At 45.7% G+C, this 26,237-nt stretch overlaps 1 protein-coding gene across 15 annotated transcripts in view; it reads right to left on the bottom strand.

The window, feature by feature from the left end:
• The window catches only part of VWA3B (von Willebrand factor A domain containing 3B), a 243,450-nt gene that overhangs the window by 15,770 nt on the left and 201,443 nt on the right, over positions 1–26,237 (bottom strand). For 8 of the 15 annotated variants that reach the window (XM_005263897.3, XM_011510771.3, XM_047443640.1 and 5 more), the window contains 5 exons: positions 24,225–24,336; positions 16,816–16,940; positions 14,631–14,768; positions 11,045–11,145; positions 2,516–3,028 (listed from right to left, as the gene is read on the bottom strand). In XM_005263897.3, coding sequence (XP_005263954.1) covers positions 2,611–3,028; positions 11,045–11,145; positions 14,631–14,768; positions 16,816–16,940; positions 24,225–24,336 — 894 coding nt within the window. In that variant the 3' untranslated portion in view covers positions 2,516–2,610. Of the gene's footprint in view, positions 1–1,547; positions 3,029–11,044; positions 11,146–14,630; positions 14,769–16,815; positions 16,941–24,224; positions 24,337–26,237 lie in introns of those variants that run through there. The other 7 variants (NR_144296.2, NM_144992.5, XM_011510770.2 and 4 more) reach the window with 4 other exon arrangements.

The raw sequence follows: 26,237 nt of genomic DNA, 5'->3' as shown, positions 1-26,237 counted from the left end.
TTCACCATGTTGGCCAGGCTGGTCTTGAACTCCTGAGCTCAGGTGATCCACCCACCTCGGCCTCCCAAAGTGCTGGGATAACAGGCGTGAGCCACCAAGTCCGGCCAGCTTTTCTCTTTATTATGGGTTATTTTCTTGCTGTTTTTCATGCCTGTCTTTAGGCCAGTCTTTGATTGGATGTCAGACATTGTAAATTGTACCTTGTTGGATGATGGATATTTTTGTATCCCTATAAATATCCTTGATCTTTGTTCTGGGACACAGGTATTTGGAAACAGGTTTGATCCTTCCCAGGCTTGCTTTTCAGCTTTGTTAGGCTGGGACCACGGAAACATTTAGTCAAATGCCAGTTTTGCTCCACTATTGAGACAAACTCCTGAATACTTTATCCGATGCCCCATGAATAATATTTTCCACTTTGGTTGAAGGAAACAGGAAATATTCCCAGCCCTGTGTAAACCATAGGAATTGTTCCTTGTAATCACTTTGAGTGGTCCTTTCTCTGGTCTTCAGTAATTTCCTCACAGCCATGCACTTATTAGCTGAAGACTGAAGAGGGCCACTCCGCAGGTCTCCAGCGAGCTTTCTCTCTGTAGCTCTCTGCTCACCAGCCCTGACCCTGGTAAACTCCAGCTACCTTGGTGTCCTCAGAATTCCATTTCCATCTCCTCAGCTCACAGAGGCTGCCGGGCTGTGTTTGGGTTCCCCCTCCCTATGCTGCAGCCTGGAAATATCTCCAGGAAGCGACTGGGAAATGCACAGGGCTCATCACATTTATCTCTCAAAGAGCACTGTCCTTATCACCTGACGCCCAGTGTTTTGGAAACTGTTGTTACATATATTTTAGCAGGTGTGTTAGTTGTTTTGGTGGGAGTGTAATTCTAGTTGCTGCCATTCTGTATTGGTTGGAGGTGGAAGTTCACCGTTGTAATTGCAACTTCCTCCATTACACTGAAGTAGGCACTATCATTGAACACATCAAATGATGGCCTTGTGCACTGCAATGTAACACCAATGCAACTAGCATTGTATATATTTGCCCTGTAGTCATTTGTCTCTGCTCATACCCCACCACCAGACACCAGTGATTGTTCCAATGAGAAAGTGGAGACGAAGAGAGCGAGATGGGTACAGAGGGAAGATAACCACCTTCCAAGTCTGCTGGCATCTCTCTGGAGCCTGGCAGGCTGTCAGCACTCAAATTGCTTGTTGAATAATTGAATGAATGTACGCAGGCTCACATGCATGCACGTATGAATAAATGAACCAATGCCTATGACTGGGTGGTTTCTAAACTGCTCCACTAGTTCTCCAGACCAGACACCTTGCTTCCTTCAGACCCTCATACCCTTCCTTCCTTCCAGGACACAACTCTCATTAGCGGAGACTGCTCCAGAGCCTTCCTGCTGGGAGGAAACGTCTGAGTTCTGGGAGGTACTCTGCCTCCCACAAGCACTGTTCCTTGCCTTGTTTCAAACAATTCCCTCACTCTTCAGTTCCTTCCTCACTGCATTATTGTTTTTAGCCTGATGCTGAGCGCATGTCCCTTATTTTTTTTTTTTCATATTTTTAGAAGTGGATTAGTTCTTTAATTTCTTCACCATAACCCTGGCTACTCCTAGCTTTCAGGAATGTGAATGCCACTTTTAATTAGATTGTAAATTTTTAGAGTATCAGAACTCAGCCCTATCTGTTCTGTTTGCAAAAAGCATCCAATATTTTCCCTAGTGATGACCTGTGCTCTATTTTCATCTAGCCTCAGGGATCTTACCGACTAGAAAAACGAAATTTGATGGAGCGATTTCATTTTTGAAGTTAGTAAACACAACTGAATACTTTCATATGTCATTGCTAAAATGTGTTCAGAGAAAAATGGTAACAAATAATCCAACAATCCAATGGTTTTGAAATGTTTCCAATGTAAGAGTTTTTATTCTGGTTTCGGGCTCAATTAGAGTTACCTACAACAGACTATAGACAAAAATAATTAGGAAAGGCTAAATGAAAATGTCAGGAAACTATACAGTAGGGGATGTTCAGTCTTGCAGATCTCAGACAAGTTACCGAGTCTGAATTTCAGTCCTAATATTGGGTGACAAATTCTCTAATTTAGATGTGATAATTAATTTAAAACAAGATTGCGGGCTTGGATCCTGACTATGCTGACTGCTAAACAATTTGAAAGTCCTGTGACAGTCATCCTTCAGGTTAAAACTTCTGGGGGTGGGGCGTCTACCAGAAGATGGAATACAATTTTGTGAGTGCAGGGGGAAAACAGGATAAAGAACAGTCAGAAAAAGCCAGAACCAAGTCGTCAAACGGGTAGGGGAGGCAGCAGGGATGGAGGGGAGAGGAGTCTTTGCTACAGACAGGGCAGGCATAGGCGGCGCGGAGGGCGGCCTTACCTCCGCGGAGGGGCCAGTTTCAGTGTCAACGCTGAGGTCTGAACAGCCTGGAAGGACGCTGGTCTCTTAAACATAGCTGCCACCAGACGGCCTTAAAGTGTCTCAGGGACGCTCCTCAGCCCTTTGCTGCTGTGGGTGGCTTGGAGAGTACAGGGCAGGGCTGCTCGAGGTGGAGGTGTGGCAATGATGGCGTGGCTGCTGAGTCCTAGACGCCCGGCCGCGGGGAAGTGGAGGTGGGCTGTCTGGGGAAGCAGAGTTCAGCATTACTTAAGGATGTTAGGGTCTTTGCTGCACTGGAGCCTAAACAGGCCCAGAATCTGAAGGACGATGTTAGGTGTACTATTCTTGAAAGGGATTTCAGGGTGTTCCTGAGATAAGCGATGTTGTGTTCCCCCCCCATCACCCAAACCCTGGGCTCGGGGTGTGTCCCCTGGCAGGACCCATGGGAGCTGATGCCGTGGGAGGAGCCGTCCGAGTCCGAGGGCGCCGCCTGCTGGAGTGGCTGCTTGGCGGGCCTCTTTTTCCTCCTGGGCTTCTCTCGTCTTGGCTCTCTGGAATCCTGCGTGTCCGCTTCTTTCAGTGGCCAGAAGAGGAAAGCAGAGTTCCTCGCCTCCACATCCTCTCTAGAGACAGAGAGAGATCAGGGTTACCCTGCCTTGATGGCTGCGGGGTCTACAGAGATGTCCAAGCCATCCCCACGGCTGCTTCTCAGCTCCTTGCCCACGTCCCTCTTCCCATGGAAAGGAGTCTCTGGAGCGCTGTGAACCCAATGCTTTAGGCTGGGCTTAGGTCCACTCAGTTCATTTCCACGAGCCTTTGGTGTTTGGGAGCCTCCCACGGCACGGAGAACTTGAGTATACGGACCCGTCCTGACCAAGCCAGTGAAGGAACAACTCCCAGCCCAAAAGCCCCTGGAAACTCCTCAGCATAGACCTGTGTCCGCCCCAGGGAGATGAGCTTGGCCCCATCACAGCCCAGTTCATCCCTGTATTGGAGCTTGTACATCAGAGATATTCTTTCACACCCTGTGTTTCTGTAATGACTCCAAGGTATACTATCGGAAACATTTTTCCAAATGTCCAAAATGGTATGATTTGTAATGACATTGAACTTAGGAATGACTATGAAGTCACAGAGCTAGATTACTATTTAGAAAATACGCTGACAAAGCTTATTTACCCAGAAGTGCTGTCCTTCAAAGAAGGCACCTTGATAACACCATGACCTCATTCCAGCCATGCCTCCATGGCTCACCGTTTTGGGAGCTCACCTTTTTTCAGGGCCTTCAGGGTAAGTTAAGGACACCCACTGCCTAATGTTAAACCTTATTTTCTTCCCATAATCAGTATCAGCTATCTTGATCAACCTGCCTTCAATCCGAATAATTTTTTGTTTTGTTTTTACTCCGCATAACTTCTGACTATTACTGCTTCGGATCCTTTTGGAAATTGTCAGGGAAAAACAAAACAATAAAGTAGAAAGAGAGTTTTTGCTATTTTCAAATAGAAAATGCCACCATTCAAATCCCTTGTGAAAGAATCAAGATTCACTGCACATGATCATTTTCAAAGATTGGCTCAAAGACTCAGGAGAGATTCCCAAGAGAGATTAAAAAATTGGCCTGGGCGACAGCAGTGACATTGGGAAAAGCCTTTCTGGGAGGCCACAGACAAAATCATCTTTAAATCTGAGGCCAGCGCTTGTGTGGATGTATAGGTTCTGTGATAGCAGGTTCTGAGAGACTTCTAGGAATCATGCTTCAAGGGTACACTTACCGCCCCTGCTCTGTGAAGTCTAAAATCTTATCCATCAGGTTACCCTCAACTATCCCTCAAATTGCTACCTCTCTCCAGAGCAGAATAAGTTGATACATTCTGTTTCTTTTTCAGGGTTTTTCTCTATTTTCCATGAGTTAGGATCCATGATTACAGTCCAGTCCCTAAGCTATAATCTCTCAGAAAGAGGAGCGACAAGAAGCGGATGTGAGAAGTAGAGAGATTTTCAGGCATTAAAAGCATGGAAAGAACAAGGTAGGGAGATGCCTACCCCCCTGCCTGGAGGACTCTGGCGCTGTGCTGGTTCCACTTCTGGGAAGAAAGTGCTGAGTGCCCACTCCATGCCCTCCTGGGGTCAGAACCCACCCCCTTTGCTGAATAAAGCATTGGCAGCTTGTCAGAAATCCTGCTGGATTCCTGAGGTCTCGTTTGTATTGTGCCCTAAGTGTCTCTCTCTCAGCAAGGCTGCCTTAGAACATAAAGAACAAGAGGACCCATGGAGTAGGCACCAGCAGATGTTTGATGAAGACCCGGTGGGGGGTCTTAGACTTTCAGCAACTGAAGGGGTGGAGAATGAAGAAATGGATAAGCAAAGGCTGTTGCTATCTGAATTGCTACTGCTGGCCCTGAAGGCTGGCGAATCTCTGTGTCTCCTTGTGTCCCCTTGTCCCATGTCCTAGGGCACCACCACATGCTTCCTGAATGTAAGCAACGGCACGTGTCCTTCTAAATTACATAGGACACTCACAGACAGGGTTTGTTGCTGAACTGCACGTTTTTCAGGGCTTTGTTCCAGCATAAGAAATGGGGCTCCTAATCCAACCAGAGGGGACGGAGGGAGCTAATGACATACAGAGGCTTAATGATTTCAAATGCACAGACGCCTCTTAGGAGAAAATCGTCAGGAGTGACCAGGCGAGATTAAGTGAAGTGATTCATCTGACGTAATGTCAGAGGCAGAGCTGAATCTTGAAGTTTCAATCAATGACTTAATTTCACTGATGTCAGGAGACAATGTGAGTCCACAACACTACACGGGGTCAAGGGAGGAGTGTTAAACACTGCGCACGGTATCATTTCCACTGGGACACACTCCCAAATCCAATGGCTTCATGGAAAGTTCCTCAACTGCTCAAAAGACAGATAATGAGAGGCTAATATTTTGTGTAACAGGAATTGTGGGGAACAGGGGTTGACCAGAGACCCAGACAAACCCCACCTGGCCCTGGGAGGGTCTCTCCTCCTGCCGACTCATACATAGCCATGTCCCCAGGACCACACAATGACCCTCAAGCAGCAAGAGAAGAACATGCCTTGCCTCCAGGGCCCCAGAACCTAACAGCTTCCTTCAGATGCCTGATGTTTCCCTGGAGCACAGAGGAAATGCTGAGTCCTATTTTGCTTTCCTGATATCACATTTGGAAAGTTATTATTTTTTTAAAAATAAATCATACTCCCTCTAAAAAGGCTTTTTTTTCTTTTTTCTTTTTTTTTTTTTTGACAGAGTCTCGCTCTGTCGCCCAGGCTGGAGTGCAGTGGTGTGATCTCGGCTCATGGCAAGCTCTACCTCCTGGGTTCAAGTGATTCTTCTCTCAGCCTCCCGAGTAGCTGGGATTAAGGGTGCCCACCACCATGTCCATCTAATTTTTGTATTTTTAGTAGAGGCGAGGTTTCACCATAATGGCCAGGCTGGTCTCGAACTCCTGACCTCAAATGATCTGCCCATCTCGGCCTCCCAAAGTGCTAGGGTTACAGGCATGAGCCACTGCCCCCGGACAGGAGTCTTCTTAAGGAGGAGTCTTGAAGGTAAAAACAAGCTGTGCTCTGTTAAGGGTAAGGGGAGGAAGGATTCCAGCTCATCTGGGAGAGAGTTCTAGCTAGTTAAGTGGCACCAGGTGTGTGTATTCAGTTCAGGCGGCCTGAAACCCCAGCCTGTGGGTGGTTGAGTAATGCCTGCTAGAGGCACCTCTCTCCACTGGAGAACACCAGCAGCTGGAGCATCAGACCCACCAGGTGCCTCCCCCTGCCCTGGCCAGAGGCCACAGTCCTCTGATGGGAACGGGACGCCAGGGGAGGCAGCCAGGGAAGGACTTGGTCTGTGAGTCCCCTGCCCTGGCAAGGAGAGAGGATGCCAAATGGAGGAAAATCCCTCTGTTCTGCCTGTTTCTTGTAGTTATTGAGAAGGACCACATGGGAGAAACTACACATATGTTCTCAAATGGAGGCAGTTATAGACAGGATACGGACTATTCTCCCTCAGAAAAGACATCTCTGATGCCATGGAATGTAGCAGAAAGCTCAGGGACACTCCTGAACGGAAGGGAAGGGAAGAGCAGTTATTTCCCTCCATCGGACACACTGTCTTGAAAGACACGCCTCTCAGCCGTGTGTCAGAGAATGCCGTCGTCATGCTGCAAAGGAAAGAGAAAATCTGCACCCGCCTAGCTGGTTTCACATTGCAAATATGGCAATACCAGCATCCCCTCCTTGAGGAATGAGTAGTCTGGAATTTAGCAATATTGATAACATATTTTATAAGCCAATCTTGTTTTTTTAAAAAAAGTCTTTAAGAATCATTTAGGTGTCAAATTTTAAGTTGAAAATGAAAATGTGCATCAGATTTCGCTGTGTTCAATTAGTTTTGAGCCCTTCAGCCTCCAAATGCCTTTCTTCCTGCCTTTCACTGTGCACCGTTCTCACTCAGAAGCCAGAAGAGAGACCTGGAGGAAAGGCTCCCAGAAGGAAGGAAAGGAGGTTGGGGGGAAGATGGAGGCTGTTTGGGCCCAGGTATCCCTTGCTTTACCCTGCAAGCAGATAGTTATAGTAAATTCAATATTTAAAAATTAAATTTAGTCAAATAATGTTCTGTTGGAGATGTAACCTACAGTACATGTCTTTAATAGCCTGTGAAGAAAGCATCAGGATTTTTTTAGATGGCCTCATTTGGAATGTAAAAAGTAAAGTAGAGGTTCCTCTTCAAAGACTTTCCTCCCCATCTAATTAGGAATAACGAGTAACTTCTCTTAGAAGCAAAATTTATTCAAAGACCTGTGCTAACATTCTTAAACATCTGCTAACCGTAATAAAGAAATCAATGTACTTTATGTTCTTAGCTCTCACAATTTAGTTTAAATATTTGCCCTGGCAAGCTTATACTGGTCCAAGCAAGCGTTAGGTCATAGCCTGTTCCTCTTCCTTATTTGAAGGTGATTTTACCTTTCTCAGCATTCCCCAAGTTACTTCCTCCTTCCTTTGCTCTCCTCTGCCTTTGCCTCTTTAAAAAAGTTCTAAGTTGCTAGTCAGTCAGAACAAATACAGAATGTGAGGTCCCGTTCCAGCCAATGGAAACCGGGCATAGCAGCAGGGTGGACACGTCAGGTTATAAATGACCCTGTCTCCTTTGTTCGGTGTACTCTCATGGCAAAACTGCTGGCAAGTGTACCCTTTCTGCAGAAAGTATAAAAATGGCCTTGCGGAAGAAATTAAATTTATGTTCAAGTGCTATTTCTTTATAGCACCGGGGAATAAGCATTTCTAACAGGAATAATGGCATGAATGCTCCCTAAGGAACACATTTGTAAAGTAAGTGAGAAAGAGCTCCTGAGGAAGGGACCTACCAGAAGGAAATCCCAGCTCAGACACAAAATCAGACCTATGCCTTTATTTTTGTACTCGGTTCTGCTAGCCCTTATTATAGAAACAGAGACAGGTTAAGCTCTGAACTTAGTAGGTTGAATGTGATCTCTGCTTATGAGCATTAAACTCAGTCTCTTGCTCCCACAGAGGCAGCCAACATAAAAAAGAGTAGAAATTACAATGGGGGACTCGAGAGTCAATGAAGACTTCCACCATGTGAAGCCCAGAAGCAAGGGTAGATAATTCACAGTGAAGAGCTTTAAATAAGGCCTGGGGAAGATGGAAAACAAAGGCTTTTCTCAACATACAAGGATTTGCATTTTCATTCTAAAATAATGATTGATAACATTGAGTTTGGTGAAAATGGGTAATACTTAGATACATCTGCTCATATTCCTTTATAATGAGCTGTAATTTGGACATCATAGGAACCAGAAGCAAGACCCACAGGGACCATTGTTGGGGTAGATGTTTGAGATGAGCAGAAAATGTCCTGCTATTTTAAATGAAGTATCAACCCATCTAGACAAAGAATGGAGAATTGTAGCATACGTTTTTGATAATCATAGCTAAGGAAAGGTTCTCTGTGGAGCCGCACACCCCTTGAGGAGCATCGCTGGGCATCTGCTAGCATGTGTCTGTATATATTTATTTGTTCTTCAAATAGTCATTGGGGGCATTCTGTGAGCTGGACCCTGGCAACTGGGATTCAGAGGCAGATAGAACCTGTCCCCTACCTTCAAGGACTTGTGCCTACAGTGTCCAATGCAAAGGAAATTTTCTTTAACAGAAACCTCTACGGGTTGCCGTGGGGCCACCTCACTACCTGGGGGGGCTAGGGTGCTGGGACATCACATGGTGGTGTTGACGTTTGAGCTCAGTCTTGGAGTTCCCCAGGTGGCTGAGGGCAAGGAATAGCTGTCCAGGGAGAATACTTAATCTGGTGAAGGCACAGAGACCTGAGAAAGCATGGTGTGGGCAAAACCTACATGTAGCTTAGTGTGGTTAGCATGCAGAAGGCATTGGTGGGTTAGCTGGGAGTGGCTAGGGACAAGTGAGGCAAGGTAGGCAGGTCTGGGCCAGACCAACAAGAAGCTAAGCTGTGATAAGAAGGGGTGATGGGGATGGGGCTCTGAAGGATTTTTAAGTGCGGAAGGGACACAGGCAGATTTGCATGTGAGGAAGTTGATTCTGCTCAGCCCTTATGGTGAGTGACTGGGACTGTGGCAGGAGGAGGCTGGAGGACATGAGAACTCCTGGCCAGTTAGGATGCCTGCAACCTGGAGACCAAGGGGGTGTGGTAGGTGAAGGACAAGCAGCAGCCAAAGATGACCACCAGATTTCTGGCTGGACAGCTCCGTGACTTGTGGGTAAAAGGGTGAACTGAGATGGGGAAGCCCGAGATGGGAGCAGGTTTGTGGGGAGCTCTGATTTCAGTTTTAGATGTGCTGAATTTTTGAGATTCTGTACACTCAGGTGGAAATATCCAGGGGGTGGTTGGAAACAATGCCCTTCCCACAATGTGCTGAACACCTGCCAGACAATGACCGTCCCCAATCTTCACATCACTGTCATCCTGCAGATGAGCTCAGGGTCGATGAGCAACCACAAAACTAATGAGGGCAGGGCTGGGATATAAACCCAATCTTGGTTCCAATGCTCTTCCCCCTATAGTTACCCATCATGGCTGCACCTTGCAACCAGCTGGGGGCTTTCAGAAAAACCTGCCTCCAGGCCCACTCTCGGAGTCTGACTGTGACACACAAGCACAGGAGAGCAGCCTGGGTTGGAGAAGGAGACATGGGGTCCTTAGTGCAAAGGGAGTCATGGAGGCAGTGAGAGGCAGTGAAGTCAGGCAGGGATAAACCCCAGAGAGGTAGAGGGGCAACGAGCCTCAAGAGGAGGGTTTAGGGCAGAAGGGAGTGGCTGGTGGCGTCCAAAGCGACTCTGGAGCAGGTTCAGTCAGTGAGGGCGGAGCTCACTGGTTCAGGCTCGTGAGAGGTCCCGTGTGGCCTCTGTGGAAGCAGTTTCTTGGAGGGGTAAGGGTGGATGCCTATATCCAAGGCTCAGGAGTGAACAGGAGAGTGGGGACGTTGAGTCTATCCGATGACGCATGGAGACCGGCAGTGAAGGGCAGGGAGCATGCTGGATCACACTGCGGAACCAAGGGAACGGTATTTATTTAGGAGTGTGTGTGTTTGTGGGTGCTGCGTGTGTGTGAACAGGAGGCCAACCTGTGTACTTGCTGAGGTGAAGGGCTCAGTGAAGAGGAGCTAAGGAGAGAGGTGAGAAGAATCCAGGGATCACTGATGGATCCAGGACCCGAGGCAGTGGAGGATGGGCCTCTGGAGCCCAATGGACAGATCAGCCTGGGGTGAAAGGAAGGACACTGATTCTTTGACATCGGGGGCAAAGGCAGAGACTTCCATAAGCCCAGAAGTGGGAGATCAGAAGTGGAGGGAGAGGATGTCTGATGGTTCTTTGACGAAGTAGAAGGTAAGGCCATTAGGAGAATGAAGGTTAGCACCCAAAGACAGCCTGCAAGCTCTAACAGAAACTGGAAGATGTTTCCTGGGTCCTTTTCCCCAACACTTGCTCAACATCCAACTTCATCTCTTTTTGTATGACCTTGACTCCAAGGTCATGGCTCCATGAGCCCAATTTTGATGCCCCTCGTTGGCCCCATGGACTTGGGTTCGTGTTTGCTCTGCAGGCCTCCCCCTTTCCTTTTGCCTTGGCTTTAGTCTACCTTACAGCTCTTAGCCATCCTACTACCTCACCTGAAAATGTGTTCACTCCACTGCAGCCCCTGGAAGCCACCGCCCCTCCAACACCCTGACCTGGCTACAGGCAAGCCAGGGCCAGCCCCTTGCTCCCACCTCCCAGCAAGGGGAGAGGTAGGTAGGTGACTGGACCCAAATGCAACTTAATTAGAAGGCCTTCAGTCTTTACAAATAAAAGGGGAACAATTCCTTCATATTCATGAATGCTTTCCTGAAGGGTCAAATAATGTAGAATTTGAGATTAGAACCAGATGGATGAATAAGTAGCAGGTGAAAGGTGTGACGTCGAAGGAATAATAAACACAGAGCTACATTTTAAGTAGGACATTCTGCATCTCTACTTTTCTTCCCTAGTATTTAGAGGTCATGGATCTCATCTCAAAAACAGATTAAAGGTGCAAGGATATAAATTAATATTCAAGAGATAAAAGTTGAGTACACTTACACTTCTGGATCCTCAGGAATTGGGGGTGACTTTATATGAGAGCAAGAGAGCGCATACTTGTTTTGGCTGATCTTAATAAGTGCACTCCGAGGGCAAAATTCCTGTAATAATACCAACAGAGTTCACTCAACTTAAATCAGAAATGTCCACAATTCAGATACAATTTTATTCTAGCTCAACCCATTATAATAGCTTCTAGTCATTATCCTATTCAGGGTGACACTTAAAAGAGTAGTTCAAATTCAGACCCTCACTTGACAATTATTTGCTGAATAAAAGTCATCATTGAGTCCTCTCTGTCATTTCTCCATATTCTGGATCAATTGCCAAATGTACCCACGTAAGACACACACACACACACACACACACACACACACACACCTTCACATAACCACCTTCCTTTCTATCTTTATTTCAGCCTTTGGCCACCACTTTTGCTGACTGCCCCACCTTCACCCTCTTTGGGTCTCCCCAAGTCCCTATCAGAACTGTCTCCAGTATCCTTCCCCCTCCACCCTGCCACACCCACCTCCACCCCCCGCCCCCGGCCATGCCACTCTAGCCTCCAGGGCCCCATGTCCTGTAGGTAAGTTCAAGGTCCTTTTCTGGGGTCTGCGGCTTCCCCTCAGGGGTCCTGGGCCAACTGCCTCATCTCTCCCCACACCCTAGGGCATGCCCGGGGACATCTCTTAAAACATCCCTCCCTTTCACAGTTGATATCCCCAGAATGGTCCCACACATCAGGAAGGGGAAGGCTTCCCCATGCTCTGCCCTTCCAGATGTTTCTCTACTGCTATCCAGACAGCTTCAGGAAACTCCATTTTCTCCAAGGGGTTTTTTTCTGGGGTGATGAGCAGACAACTCCTTCTCCGCTTGCCCTGTTGGGTTGGATACAGTGCTCCAGTGGCCGCTGGCTCTGATGGTCTTTCTCCTTTGCGCTTAACCCTAAATTTCATTTCCCATGCCCCTCTCCCTGGTGGAACTACCTCATGCCACAGTCAAGGAGGCACTGGATATTTTTATTCTGTATCCTAGGCAGCCGGGCATGGTAGTTTAGAGGGTAGGCCATGGAGCCAGATTGTCTGTGTTCGAATGCCTACTCAACACACCAGGTGTGTGCTTTAACCTCTTGCTTCAATTCCTTTTCTGGAAATCAGTGTAATAATAGTCTCTACCTCATGGTGTTCTGAGGATCCAAGGGTCCACTCTGTGTAAAGCGCTTGGATTGGAATGCATGGCACACAGTAAGGTCCTAAGAAAGAGCCACTGTTACCTGGCTTTTTGCTCACCAATCTAGTTCACTTGTGGGTCTGTTTTCCAGGCATGTTAAGTCGTCCATCAAAACAATGTCATTTTCCATTAGGAATGTCGTTCATTCAAGTAATTTAAAAAACAATTGTGAGACCCTTCTCTTCATCAGGGACTGTGCTGGGAGGGACAAAGGTGAACAGACGTGGTCTCTGCCTTCAAGGATTGAGAGGTTGGTGAGGAAGCCAGTTTGGCAAGTGCAGTGTAGTGGACAGGAGGAACCTGAGGGCCTGCAGGAAGTCACAATCAGGCAGAGTCTTTAGGGTGACGGGAGTTTGGGGGAGAGGAGATGGGGAGGGCAGTCCAGGAAGAGGCAAAAGCCTGGGACTTGAAAAAGCCCACCGCATTCAGGAAGCAGTGAGTCTTCCACCTGGCTGGAGGTCAAGCTCATGGAGCCGGCTGGGGCCACACTGGGGTCCTGGGGGCATACTCCCTGAGGGTGACACGAAGCATGTGTGTGGGTTGAGAGGAGGCAGGAGACGTCAATCAGGCAAACTACATCATCAGTTTCGTAAACTGATAAAGAATTCTTCTGAAACTTTTAGAAAAATTACATACAGAAATATATAATTAAGAAAGGATTTCTTAAATAAACATAGAAAGGGCAGAAGGAGAAGAGGGATAAATTTGACCATATTAAAATTTAATGCTTCCTGTCAACAAAGATTCCAAAGTTAAAAGACAAGCAACAGACCGGGGAAAACTATTGGCTGCATATATTACCAAGAATTACTACCCAGAAGGCAGAGAAGACCTCCCCTAGTCAATAAAAAAGACAAACGATCCAACAGACAATACAGACCCTTAACAAACATCCGTCCAATGAGCAAATCAATCTAGAGGTGATACAGTTAACCGAGTCATTCCCACTCGCTGGCACTGGGGAGTGTAGAAGGAAGGGATCTGAGTGATGCTGCCAACCTCTGCAGCCACATCATCACTACTGTTACCTAACACCTACCTGTCAGACACACAGATCTTTTACATCTTTTACATGTCTTTTCTTCAAGCCTCACAATCACCCTGTAGGGTATACATAGATAAATACAGATATAGATATGTAAAGTATTCATTTTATATGTGACCAAACTGAGTCTCAGGGGGTGAAGCAACCTGCTCAGGTCAGACAACCAATAAAGAGCAGAGTGAATGTTCATATAATTCAAACACAGGTTTTTTTTTTTGTTTTGTTTTTTTGTTTTTTTTTGAGACAGTCTTGCTGTGTCGCCCAGGCTGGAGTGCAGTGGTGTGATCTCGGCTCACTGCAAGCTCTGCCTCCCAGGTTCACGCCATTCTCCTGCCTCAGCCTCCCGAGTAGCTGGGACTACAGGCGCCCACTACCATGCCCGGCTCATTTTTTGTATTTTTAGTAGAGATGGGGTTTCACCGTGTTAGCCAGGATGGTCTCGATCTCCTGACCTTGTGATCTGTCCACCTCAGCCTCCCAAATTGCTGGGATTACAGGCGTGAGCCACCGCACCTGGCCTAAACACAGGGCTTTTAACTGTAAAGCCTGTGTTCTTTTCACTCTACTCCACTTTGTGCCTGTCCGCCCTTATGTCTCCCAACTTCTGCCAACTCTGGAGGTGGTTCCTAGGTAAGTAGGAGATGGGGAACCAGGTAGTAGCACCCCAATACAGGGGACACAGAGGAGAAGGAGGCGCTTGGGGAAAGGGGGTGCACTGGCTTGCGGAGTCTGAGATGCCTGTGTTCACTCTGAGGGAGTGCTCCAGGAGGACCCAGCTAGAAGCACAGGGTTGGAGCTCAGGGCAGGAGCGGGGCTGGCACTTCTGGCACAGAGGAGGTGTCCAGAGATGGAGGCTCACACCGAAAGACACCAGGAGGAGGCAGAGGAGGACAGCACTAGCGGTGGCCCAGGAGGTGACCAAGTCTGCAGGGCCAGCAGGGGACCTCAAAGCAGGGGCAGTCTGAGGAGGCGGAGGAGGAGGAGGAGGATGAGGACGCGAGGATGAGGAAGACGGAGAGCCAGAGAGAGTGGTGCTCCAAGACCCTAGAGTGAGCCTGCCAGTCCGTCAAATGCAAAGCATGGTTCAGCAGTGGGAGCCAAAGAACTGCACAGTACAGGCAGCAGAGGCCATGGCCACCTCAGTGAGGGCAGGGTCTGTGTGGCACGGTGGGCAGAAGCCAAAACACAGGGAGTGGAGAGCAGGGCAGCAGATGCAGCCAGGGAAACCATTCATCAAGAAGCCTGGCAGTGCCAGGATACAGCCTGGCATTGCCCAGGAGAAAGTCCTTTTCTAAATGAAAATCTACTTACTCTCCGGTTGTTACACTTCAAAACTGTGTAGAATTTTTCTGTGGCCACATGCTTATTGGGAAGTGCTATGACAATGGCAGGGACATAGAAGTCAAATCCTTTGGGTATCACAATTTTGGCAAACACATAATCTCCAACCTGCAGAGGAGAACATAGAGCAAATATTTTGCTTATGGATTGTACAGACAATGTTAACATAAGCAAGTTTTAAAATACTCCAAGGCAATTGGCAAGTACTGATGCTAAAATTCAAATAGATATTTTTTTTCTCAGTTAAGAAAGAGTTCCAAGATTCTCTGGGCTCATTGGGCCACATCTGGAATTTTGTGATCAGTTTGGGAAGCCCCATTTTGGTAGGACTTCACCAACTGACAAGGACCCAAGGGTCTGCCAGCAAGATGGTGAGGGTTCTGGAAACCACACCCTAAAGAGACTAGTTGAAGGAACCTGGGGTGTTTGTCATGCAAAGATAAACAGTGTCCTCATCTGCCAGAAGGGCTGTCACCAAGACGTAGAAAGGGAGAGGTTTGTTTATTGTTGCTCCAAAGCACACACCCAGAATCCAAGGGTAAAAGTCGCAAACGGAGAATTTGCAGCAGAAAAAGGATCTTGTGGAGGGACATGCAGAGGCTGCAGGCCCTTCTGCATCATCAGGGTACAAGAGCACTGTTGTGTTCCAGTGCTCTGACTAGGAAGCAGCAGCAGAGGCCCAAGGATGAATTCTCCAATTCCTCCTCCAGCGCTTCTCCTCCCGGCTCACACTGGGCAAGACAGCAGCAGGGTGCTCTGCAAGGATTTCCCTCTAATCCCAGGCCTTGGAGCTGGAATTAGGAACGCGGCAAGAGGATGAGCCAGACATGGCACAGCTTTTATGAGTTTGTGAGCAGATGAGAACACATTAATCTGGCCCAACTGAGGCAGGAGAACAGGGTCTGGAGTCAGGGAACTTAAGGTCAATTCATGCTGACTTTCTAAGGCTGAATCAAGCGAAGCACCAAGGTCTGGGGGCAGGGAAAGCACCAAGGTCTGGGGGGCAGGGAATCTGGGGCCAATTTGTGATAATTTCCTAAAGTTAAATCAAAGGGAAAACATCTGGGTCTGAGGCAGGGAACCTAAGGCCAATCACTGCAAACTTCCTAAAGCTAAACCAAAAGGAGAAACCCCATCTCCTGACGCCGGGTAGCAAAGGGTCAAAGGCCAGTCTCCCTGCAACCCTCCCTTTCCACCCCGGCTCAGAGGGAAAGGGAGTGTGCCTTGGATTGGCCACAGGCCAAGCAGGGACCATCCCTTCATCTACATAGGGCACTAATTCACCTCAGCCTTTAATTAGCCACAGACCAAATCCTTCATCCAGATAAGGGGTAGTCCATAGGAACCTCAAAAGGGGTACTTAAAACCCAGAAATCTTTGTAACAGCGCCCTTGAGCCTCTTGCTCGGGCCCATTCCCACCCTGTGGAGTGCTTTCTCACTTTAATAAACCCCTGCATTCGCAGCTTCATTCCTGTGTTCCATTCCTTTGTTACTTTATTTGTGCATATTGTTCAATTCTTTGTTCAAAACACCCCTGGACAACTGACATTCATGGCCTTTCCTCCGGTGACACATCTATGGAATGCACATTTGGGCTAACTGTGCATTACGGTATCACCGTCTGACATCAGCTGATTACAGTGCCAAGGAAAGTGCTACCTCTGCCCTTGTTATTATGTAATAGAATAGAATGGAATGGGATGGGATGGGGTGGGATGGCATGGCATGGCATGGCATGGCATAGAATAGAATAGAATAGAATAGAATAGAATAGAATAGAATAGAATAGAATAGAATAGAATAGAATAGAATCTTTTGTAGTTAAAAGTGTCCACAGTACTGGCAGCTACAGCAATGTCCTTCCCCCAAACTCTATTGTCTTGTAAAGGGACAAGGACCTCAAGGTGCAGTGCAAACAAGTCTGTGCAGCCCTGAGCTACATAACAGGGAGTTGGCAGGTCAGGGTCACGAGCAAAGAAATCTCCAGGTGACAGGTCCCAGAACAGGGGCCATTGTTCTTCCTGCCCAAACACACCCTCCCTGCAGGAGCCCGTGTAGGTTCAGCAAAGGGCCAAACAGTGGCCTTGGCGTTCTGTTATTCAAAACTCTGTGGATGGTGAAAAGGGGCCCCAGAACACATCAGGGACTGGGTACCTGGAGCAGCGGGCAGGGCATGGCGCCCCCCACAGGCGTGATGAAGGAGGTGGACACGACCTTGGTGTCTCCGTAACTGAAGCCCACCAGTGCTTGGGTGCGGCTCACACACTTCTTCACAACCCCTGGAAGGAATCAAAGAAAACATAAAATATAAAGACAAATAACATCCCTTCCCTTAGGCTTGTGCCATCTTTCTGGCCATGCTGAGTTATAACACTTTGCCTGTTTAAATCAGTGTGCCCCTTTGATTTCTCCAGCAGATAATCTTGGGCACCATAGGATGCCTACTGGGTTGACCAATTCAAAGTGGTGCACATGCCTGGTCTGGGCACCCGCTGAGATGAGAACCAGTGAGAATGGACTAGACTTGTTCATCCTGCGCCATCAGCCCCCATCCTGACAGGAACATGGGTCCTGGAAATAAAGATCCTCTTCTCGAACACCTCCTACCACCTGATATTTTCATTTACTTTAGCCCTATTTTTTTCCATAATACTTAAAGATAGAAAATACATGTTGTTAATTAAATTGGGAAAGTAAAAAGGAAATATAAACTCCCATCCAAATTGGCTTTTCATCTGACTAGACTGAACATACTCAGCTTCCCCAAAATATACAGCTGAAAGGAACAAAGAAAAAAGATGTAAGGCTGGGCGTGGTGGCTCACACCTGTAATCTCAGAACCTTGGGAGGCTGAGGCAGGTGGATCACCTGAGGTCAGGAGTTCAAGACCAGCCTGGCTAACATGGTGAAACCCCGTCTCTACTGAAAATACAAAAATTAGCTGGGCATGGTGGCACACGCCTGTAATCCCAGCTACTCGGGAGGCTGAGGCAGGAGAAACGCTTGAACCCGGGAGGTGGAGGTTGCAGTGAGCTGAGATTGCGTCATTGCACTCCAGCCTGGGCGACAAAAGCAAAATTATGTCTCAAAAAAAAAAAAATGAAAAAAGAGGTAAGAAGTTTCTTTTTTTGTTATACTAAAGGAGTGCATGATAGATAACATAAGGTTGGTATAAAAATAATTGCGGTTTTTGCCATTAAAAAAATGACCAAAACCACAATTACTTTTGCACCAGCCTAATATATATACACACAAACATATATATTATTTAATTATATAATAATTTTGTTATACATTTTAATTAATATAATTATTAGAATAGATTATCATTCTAGGAAAAGAAAATACCTGTGTTAAGATGTATATTTTTTGTAATTTATCCGACTTGAAATTTATCCTCCCATTAAAAAGGGATTCTAAACATTAAGGGGGAGATGATGACATTGGACACCTCCCCCAGCAGTATCAGCTGCTCACAGACCCTCCTGGAGACAGAAATGAGCACACGCGTCCCGCTGGGCTCCACGGCATGTGCTGCAGCAGCTCCCCAGTCCTGGCTCACGTGCCTGCTAAGCAAAGCCCTGTGTCCTCTCATGGGGCAAAGAGATAGCTGCTGATTTTCATCTTGATCCATGTGTCTTGTTTTAAATGGCCAAAGGAATGAATTTTTTTTGAAAAATATGCACACTCAAGCCAGCTTACCATTGTGTGTTTTCTGATCGGACTAAAATGTTTACTTTGGGTTTTGAAATATTTACACATTATTCACACATTTCTACCATAAACTGACTTTACCTTTTTAATCAGAAAAACAAATACTACCTTTTAGAAATAATTTCTATTCTGGAAACAAGAGCCGCTCCTGATTGAGAATCAGGGGACTCGTCTCCTGCCACGCACTGTGTGCCCCACGTCCCTCCCACGGCCCCAGGGAAGGGTCTGAGCTGCCACTACAGCCACACTGGCCCATGTGACTCTCTTCAAATCCTTAGCCTTTGGGACTTAGCAGTATCCAGTATCAAGCCTACTAGGCAGTTTTCCAGTTGTTTGCCTAAATTGAGAAGTTGTGACAGAGCCTGTGTAGCCGACGAAGCCTAAACCATTTATCACTGACTTTCTTCTTTGGACCTAAACTTTTTGGACTGTTATGATGACTTCTTTTTAGTTCCTTTAATTCACCTTCCTTCTTTGTATAATCTCTGTAGATGTGGGTCTTTGTTCATCTCCAGAAATGAGCACAGTTTCTTACGGTCTGGCTTCAACCTGGCCTCGAGGGCCCCCATGTGGCCTCACTCTGGGCAGCTGTAGGGCCCAGGACTGGCCTGTCCCACCACTGCTAAGCCTCTGTACCTGCTCCTTCTCCATCTAATTAAGGGACTGCAACCATTTCTTGTGTCCTGATTCAAGATCAGCTCCAATTTTTGGCTTCCCTTACCCTATAGTTTCTCTCTGTCCTCAGCCTTGAGAGGTGAGGCTGTGTCTCCCAGCTCTGAAATCTCTGGGACCCGTTTGAGGACCTCGGTTCTGAAGGGTGGCAAGCTGAAGAACCTCCACTGCCTCCCCTCTTTCTCTGGGCAGAGGCTGGCGGGCCCAGAGCTTCCACTGCCTCCCCTCCTCTGGGCGGAAGCTGGTAAGCCCAGTGCCTCCCTGGGGATGAGTTGGCTCCCTGCCTCAGTCGGGGTTGTCCTGTATTCAGCTGGAGAAAGGGCCTGTGCTCCTATGGAGGCCTTCAGCAAAAATGCTGCGGGTGCTCAGGGGTCAGAGAATTGGTGTCACAATCTGAGTAAACAGTGGAAGTCAGTTTGTTTGGTGAAAGATGCATGAGTGGTTCTGAACCTTTGCTCCAAATAGGTTTTGTCAGGCTGGAGACTGGATTTTCTTTTTTTTAAACCTTTGGCTCTAAGAACCTTCCGATATACAAAGCCCGGCTTAAATTCCACCTCTTCAAAAAGGCTTTCACTCTGCTCCAGCCAGAGCATCCCTCCAGCTGCCCACTCCTCGGCAGTGTCATCCTTCACAGTCCTCGTGTCCGCTTCTCCCTCCAGTCTCGGAGGTTTCCTTTCTACCCTCTGTGCTGACTTTTGCTGCTTTGACTTGCTGTGAAAGGTTCTAAGCTGCTGTGAAATAGAAAGCAGCTCCCTCCTCCCCAGGAGAGGAGGCGAGGTGTTTATCCCTACTCCTAAGAGGAGCTCTCACATCGGATGCAGAAAAACTCTTTCCATGGAATTAACAAAGGGCTGTACGTCATCGCATTTAATCTACACAGCCAGTTTATGAAGGGTTTCATTGTTTTAAATCCCGTTGGAGAAGACAGGGACACTGAGGTACAGGGAAACAAAGTGATTGCAGTCGTGTGGCCAGCAGAGGCAAGAGGCAGAACTCAAATAAATGAAAACACAGGACTTTTGACCTGAGCTCATCACACCTGAGAAAGTGTTCCATTTTGTCCCCTTTTTCTTCATGACAACTTCTTCTTATGGCATAGTGCAGAAATCACTGTGGATTTCCTGAAGTAAAATGCTGCTTCTCACAGAACAACAGGATGACCCAGTTTCCACAAATAATGATTTCAAATAAGGGTTGAAAATGTGTCTTCCTCCTTGCCTTTCGGCATCCAGATAAGCCAGGCTATCGCTCTGTACAACACAGTCAGTCATTTCCTCAACTGGATCACCCACACTGACCCCTGGAATAACGTTGGTCACAGGGAAATCCCCACCACAATCCCGACAACAGTGGCAACAGCCAGTCTGGCCAGCTCTGCTTCCGCGTGGACCTGGCCTCATGTAGTGGACGCCTCAATCCAGTGACTCCAATCTTGCCTTCTGCTAAGGTGCATTTTAAGTGAGCTGTTTTTTTTACTAAAAATGTTTAGGAGGTTTTGAACAACAGTTACCAGAAAAGGAGTCACCAATGACATCAAGCCTATGCTCTGCAACATTTTATTTGGCCTTCTTTTTTTTTTTTTTTTTTTTTTTTTTTGTGTGTGTGTGTGTGTGTGAGGGAAAATAGTGACTCACAGTGAACAGGTGATCTAAATTAACATCACCAATGAGGGCAGGTGAGCATCACGTGCCTCTAGACGGGATGACCCAGAGGGCCATGACATCACTTAGGCAGTATTCTGGCCGGCAATGATAACCTGAATGTAATCTAACCCAAACTGAGGAACGTTCTGTAAAATAACTGGCCTTATGCTTAAATAATGTCACTATCATGAAAGATAATACGAAAGGCTAAAGAATGATTCTAGATCAAAGAGGGCTAGAGACATGTCCACTAAATGCAATACATGATTCTGGGCTGAGACCTGTCCTGGAGAAAATAAATGTGATAAAGGCCATTATTGGGACAATTAACAAAATCAAAATACATAGATTAAATAAAAGTACTATAATAGTGTTACGTTTTTTGAATTTTCTACCTTTATTGTGGTTATATTAAGAGATTATTCTTACTCTTAATCCACACTGATGTGTTAAGGGATAAAGTAACATGATAAATGTTACCTAATTTCTAAGAGTTCATAAAAAATAAGGTGTGTGTATATATGTATGAAAGAGAGAATAAAATAATATATGTGATAAAATGTGACCAAATGTTAAAAATTGGCAAATCTGGGTAAAGAGTATAGTGGGGTTCTCTGTATTATTCTTGTGACTTTTCTGTATGTTTGAATTTTTAATAAAAAAATCATGAAAGTAAAGTTATTCCCAGTTAAGGAAAAGATCAGGTGACTGGGAAGAGAGGGCACAAAAACTAGGTTCATGGAGATAACCCATGCACTGCCACTTAATCTGGCTGAGTCAAAGTTTACTACTTAGACACTAATCAAAATTACCGCTTATATGACTAAATTCAAATATTTCCTTCAAGCTGATTTATTGAAGTTTAATTACACTGCAAATTAAAAATTCCTGCTTAGTCAGATCCCATGCGGCTGTTGGGAGTATAGTATGTACTTTCTGCCTCTAATTGCACATTAAAAAAATTTCCGTTGTGGCCTCAGGCATTGCACATGGCCATGGTATTAGCCCCATCTCCTCTACTCCCCCCAGTAGGTCTTTAGAATTTTCTCATCACACAAGCATGGTGCTGGGTAGAAGTTCGAGCCATTCTACATTTTCCCGGGGCCCTAGCCAGCAGTGACCCCAAGCCCCTAACCCAACCATTTAGAATCCAGTCTCTTTTAGCATTTTCTTTTCTCTCTCTTTTTTTTTTGGAGATAGAGTCTCACTCTGTCTCCCAGGCTAGAGTGCAGTGGCAAGATCTTGGCTCACTGCAACCTCTGTCTTCTGGGTTCAAGCGATTCTCCTGCCTCAGCCTCCCGAGTAGCTGGGATTACAGGTGCCCGCCACCACGTCCGGCTAATTCTGTATTTTTAGTAGAAATGAGTTTTCACCATGTTGGTCAGGCTGGTCTCAAACTCCCGACCTCAGGTGATCTGCCTGCCTTGGCCTCCCAAAGTGCTGAGATTACAGGTGTGAGCCACCGCACCTGGCCCCACTTTTAGTATTTTCATTCGACTACTAGTTTAGCCATAAAACTCTCTCCAAGGCTCAAATTCAGAAAATCAAAATTTCTCAAGCAGGGGTGGCCTTCTATAATCACCTCTTAGAAAATCTGCACCCCAGAGAAATGGAAGATTCCCAGCCCTTGTAAAGAAGGGTGTCATGCCTTAGCCTATGCGATCATCCCAAGTGCTGGGATCCATATTTACTCTCATCCAGGCAACTCCCAAGCACATTTATCACGTTTCAAATAACCTGTCCCTGATGTCAGTTGTACATATGTGCCCGCTGGAAACCAAAAATCCTGCTGAAGTATTTTTTTCCCACCTAAAATATTATTCAATTAAATTTAAATAATAATTATTCTTTTAACTGTTGATAGATAGATCATGCCTATGAAAGGCCAGCTACGTATCTGCAACGTAATCTTTTTTTATGAGACAGAGTCTCACTTTGCCGCCCAGGCTGGAGTGCAGTGGCGTGATCTCACTGCAACCTCTGCCTCCCAGGTTCTAGTGATTCTCCTGGTTCAGTCTCCCGAGTAGCTGGGACTACAGGTGCCCGGTTAATTTTTTTTTTTTTTTTTTTTTTTTAGTAGAGATGAGGTTTCACCATGTTGGCCAGGCTGGTCTTGAACTCCTGACCTTAAGTGATCCACCAGCCTCGGCCTCTCAAAGTGCTGGGATTACAGGTGTGACCCACCACACCCGCCCTGCAATGTAATCTTTTTGCCTGACAGAGCTTCCTCAGGGTTTTCTCCCAGTTCCCTTTTCCCTACAGACCCTTCCCATGATTTCAGTGATGACTTCTGTGGTTATGTCTCCCAAATCTCTGTCTCCAGACTCTAGACCCACATCTCCAATTGCTTCTCTGATATCTTCATCTGGGCATCTTGCAGGCACCTGCAATTCATCATGTTGCAGACACATCTCATTGTCTTTCCATCCACACCACCATCTCCTGTAGGTACCACTATCTATCTACCACCCGAAGCCAGGGACCAGAGACATCCTAACCCCTTGGTATCCAATCTTCACACAGCAGTGGGAGAGAGCTTTTGAAAACTTCAAATGTGATTGTGTTTCTCACTGCTTTAAATGTGGCTCTCATTGCCCTCAGGGTAAAGTGCAAATCCTTAATATGACCCTTTATGCATAGCCCCATGCTCACCTCTCTGAAGAGCTTTATTATTTCCACCCTTCCTTCTCATTTTATGTTCCAGCCAGAATCAATTTTATTTCTCCAGACATAGATGTCTTTCTTCATTTCTAAGTCTTCACACGTATTATTGTCACCATCCATGAAACTCCCTTCATACCTCCACCCCTTGCTGAATTGCAGCTGGCTGATTCCTTCAGGGATCACATCCCCCAGGAAGTCTGGGGCAAACCTCTGAGGCCCAGCTATCCCAGTCTCATGGCCCTTCCTCCAACACACGTGTGCACTCCACCCTGAGGCCTGGGCACCGCTGTTGTTTCTGCTTAGAACTCCCTTCCCCAATCTCATGGCTTGCCCCACCTCCTTTAAGTCCTTATTCATATGTCACCTTCCCCAGGAGCTCTTCATTAACCACCAAATATAGAATCAAAACCCTCACCCCAACATTCTCAACCCCATTTGTGGCTTGATTTTTCTCTATGGCACTGTATCTGACACACCACATATTTTATCTGTTTATTTCATTGCTTGTCTGTCTCCTTTAAGATGTAATCTCCAAAAAGCAAGAATGTTCACCTTTTTGCTCATACCATTAGACCAGTACTTTCAAAATATTACATACATGCAACGCAGTAAATGGGTAATAAAAATTTGTTTACTAAAAAATGAGAAATTAAAATAAGTGCATTTTTCTGGCTACTTTTTTGGGGGGCCCAAATACGCTCATTTCATGAGCTGGCCAGAGATATTCCACTTCTTCTCTGTGAAAAGTGGACTAGCTCAGGCCAGCTCATGAAATGTCAGTGTTCTAGCAAAAGCACAGGTTGAAACTTCTTGTCCCTAGTATCAAATTATTTAACAAAAGCCTCACGAAATTAAAAAAAAAAAAACTACCTGGAAAATAAAAGCCATTTTCATCACATCTTGCAATAACCTTCTGTCCTTTGAGGGGATCTGGTCTTTTTGATTTGGTTTTCTTTGTTGGATTTCCTTGCAATTTCTGTTGCTGAAAAAGACAAAGCAGAAATAATTGATGAGAAAAAGTGAATGCAGATGCTGAAAATGATAAATACTGGGTAGCCTAGTGATATGGTTTGGCTCTGTGTCCCCATCCAAATCTCATGTTGAATTACAAGTTCCAGTGTTGGAGGTGGGGCCTGGTGGGAGGTGGCTGGATCATGGGGGTGGTTTAGCACCATTCTCCTAGTGCTGTTCTTGTGATAAAGTTATCAAAAGATCTGGTTGTTTGAAAGTGTGTGGCACCTCCCCTTTCACTCTCTCTCTCATGCTGGCCATGTGAATATGTGCTTGCTTCCCCTTTGCCTTCTGCCATGATTGTAAGTTTCCTGTGGCCTCCCCAATTGTGCCTCCTGTACAGCCTATGAACTGTGTCAATTAAACCTATTTTCTTCATAAATTACCCAGTCTCAGGTAGTTCTTTATAGCAATGTAGAAGCAGACTAATATACCTGAAATTTTCTATTGAGAATCACATTATAGAAGAATTACAGAATATCCCTGTACTATACACTCACTTTGGAGCACTTTCTGCTTTGTGTTAATTAAATGTTACTATTTTGGCAAGGGCAATATCTGCCCTCCACAACTTTTATACTTTAGCTCAAGGTACAAGGAGAATTGGATGAGTAGTTGAAGAAAAGGAAAATAAAGAAAAATTACATATGCAACTAGAATTCCTGACATTCTTTGACAGTCTCAAAGCTGGAGAGCAAAGACTACACCAGCACCATGATCAGCACTGCTGCCTTCCTAGAACAGTGAGCGGTAAAGGGGCCCTTCAACAGAAAAGTCCACTAGCAAATTTGAGAGAGACAAGCACTGAAACATAGTGCTTTACAGAAATCCAATATCCCAGCCCACCTCTTCAGGACAAAGGAGAACCTTTATGATCGCTGTCTCACAAAGAGGAAAGAAGTCCATGGGCTGAATTGGCTAATAAATTAATTATCCTCATTCCTTATATCTCCTGGTTGATGCAACAGTGGATGCTAGAAGTCAGTGGGGTAGAGCTTTCAAAGTTCTGAGAGAAAATAACTTTCAATCTAGAATTCTAAACCCAGGCGAACTATCAATCAAATGGAAAAACAAAGGAATTTCTGATCATATCCCTAGGTAGAAACTTTCCCTTCCCATTCATCCTACATTAGGAAGTTATTTGGAAATGCACTTTTCCAGTAAGAATGACATGTCTGCACAAGTCACAGACAGCAGGAAGTCTCCCAGGAAAAAAGAGGACTTAGAAATCTTGGAAATATATGCATATATAGATATACAAGCATGCATATATATATCTAACATATGCAAAAATAATGATTCAAACAAGTAACGTAATTTTACATACTGAAGGAGAAAAGGTAAAGAAATCCTTTTGCTTGATGCTATTAACATTCTTCAATTGGCCAGTGTATCACATAGGACCTTAAGGAAGGCATATACTCCTGAACTGTGACTTGTCCCAGTATTGAACAATATTTATCCAGTTAGAATAGTACAAATACTTTTTTGTGTTCTTTTAAATGAAAAATTTTAAACACGTACTGTGAACCTTTGGAAAGAGTACAACATTGACAACACGATGGTTTAAGTGTAGCTCTTGAAAGGTTGGAATGAAAGGGGAAAGAAAAAGCATAGGTATTACCACCATGTGAACTCAGGAATTGAAGAAGTTATGCAACTTGATAGATCAAGAAGTAGAGGCTTATGTATATTAAATAAAATGTTACAAATGCAGCCAACAGAATAAAAGATAACGTAAATATCCAATATTAGGATTGGGAGACAAAGAGGGGAGGGATGAGAGTAAAATTATAATATTTTTCATAGAGTGGAATTAAAAGTTTAAATATAGCAAATCATAAAATAGCGAACTATATGAAACATGTACTT

Source organism: Homo sapiens, chromosome 2 (genome assembly GCF_000001405.40).
Source record: "Homo sapiens chromosome 2, GRCh38.p14 Primary Assembly".
Lineage (NCBI taxonomy): Eukaryota > Metazoa > Chordata > Mammalia > Primates > Hominidae > Homo > Homo sapiens.
Note: the sequence above shows the minus strand (reverse complement) of the source record. Positions and strands in the feature narration are given on the sequence as shown.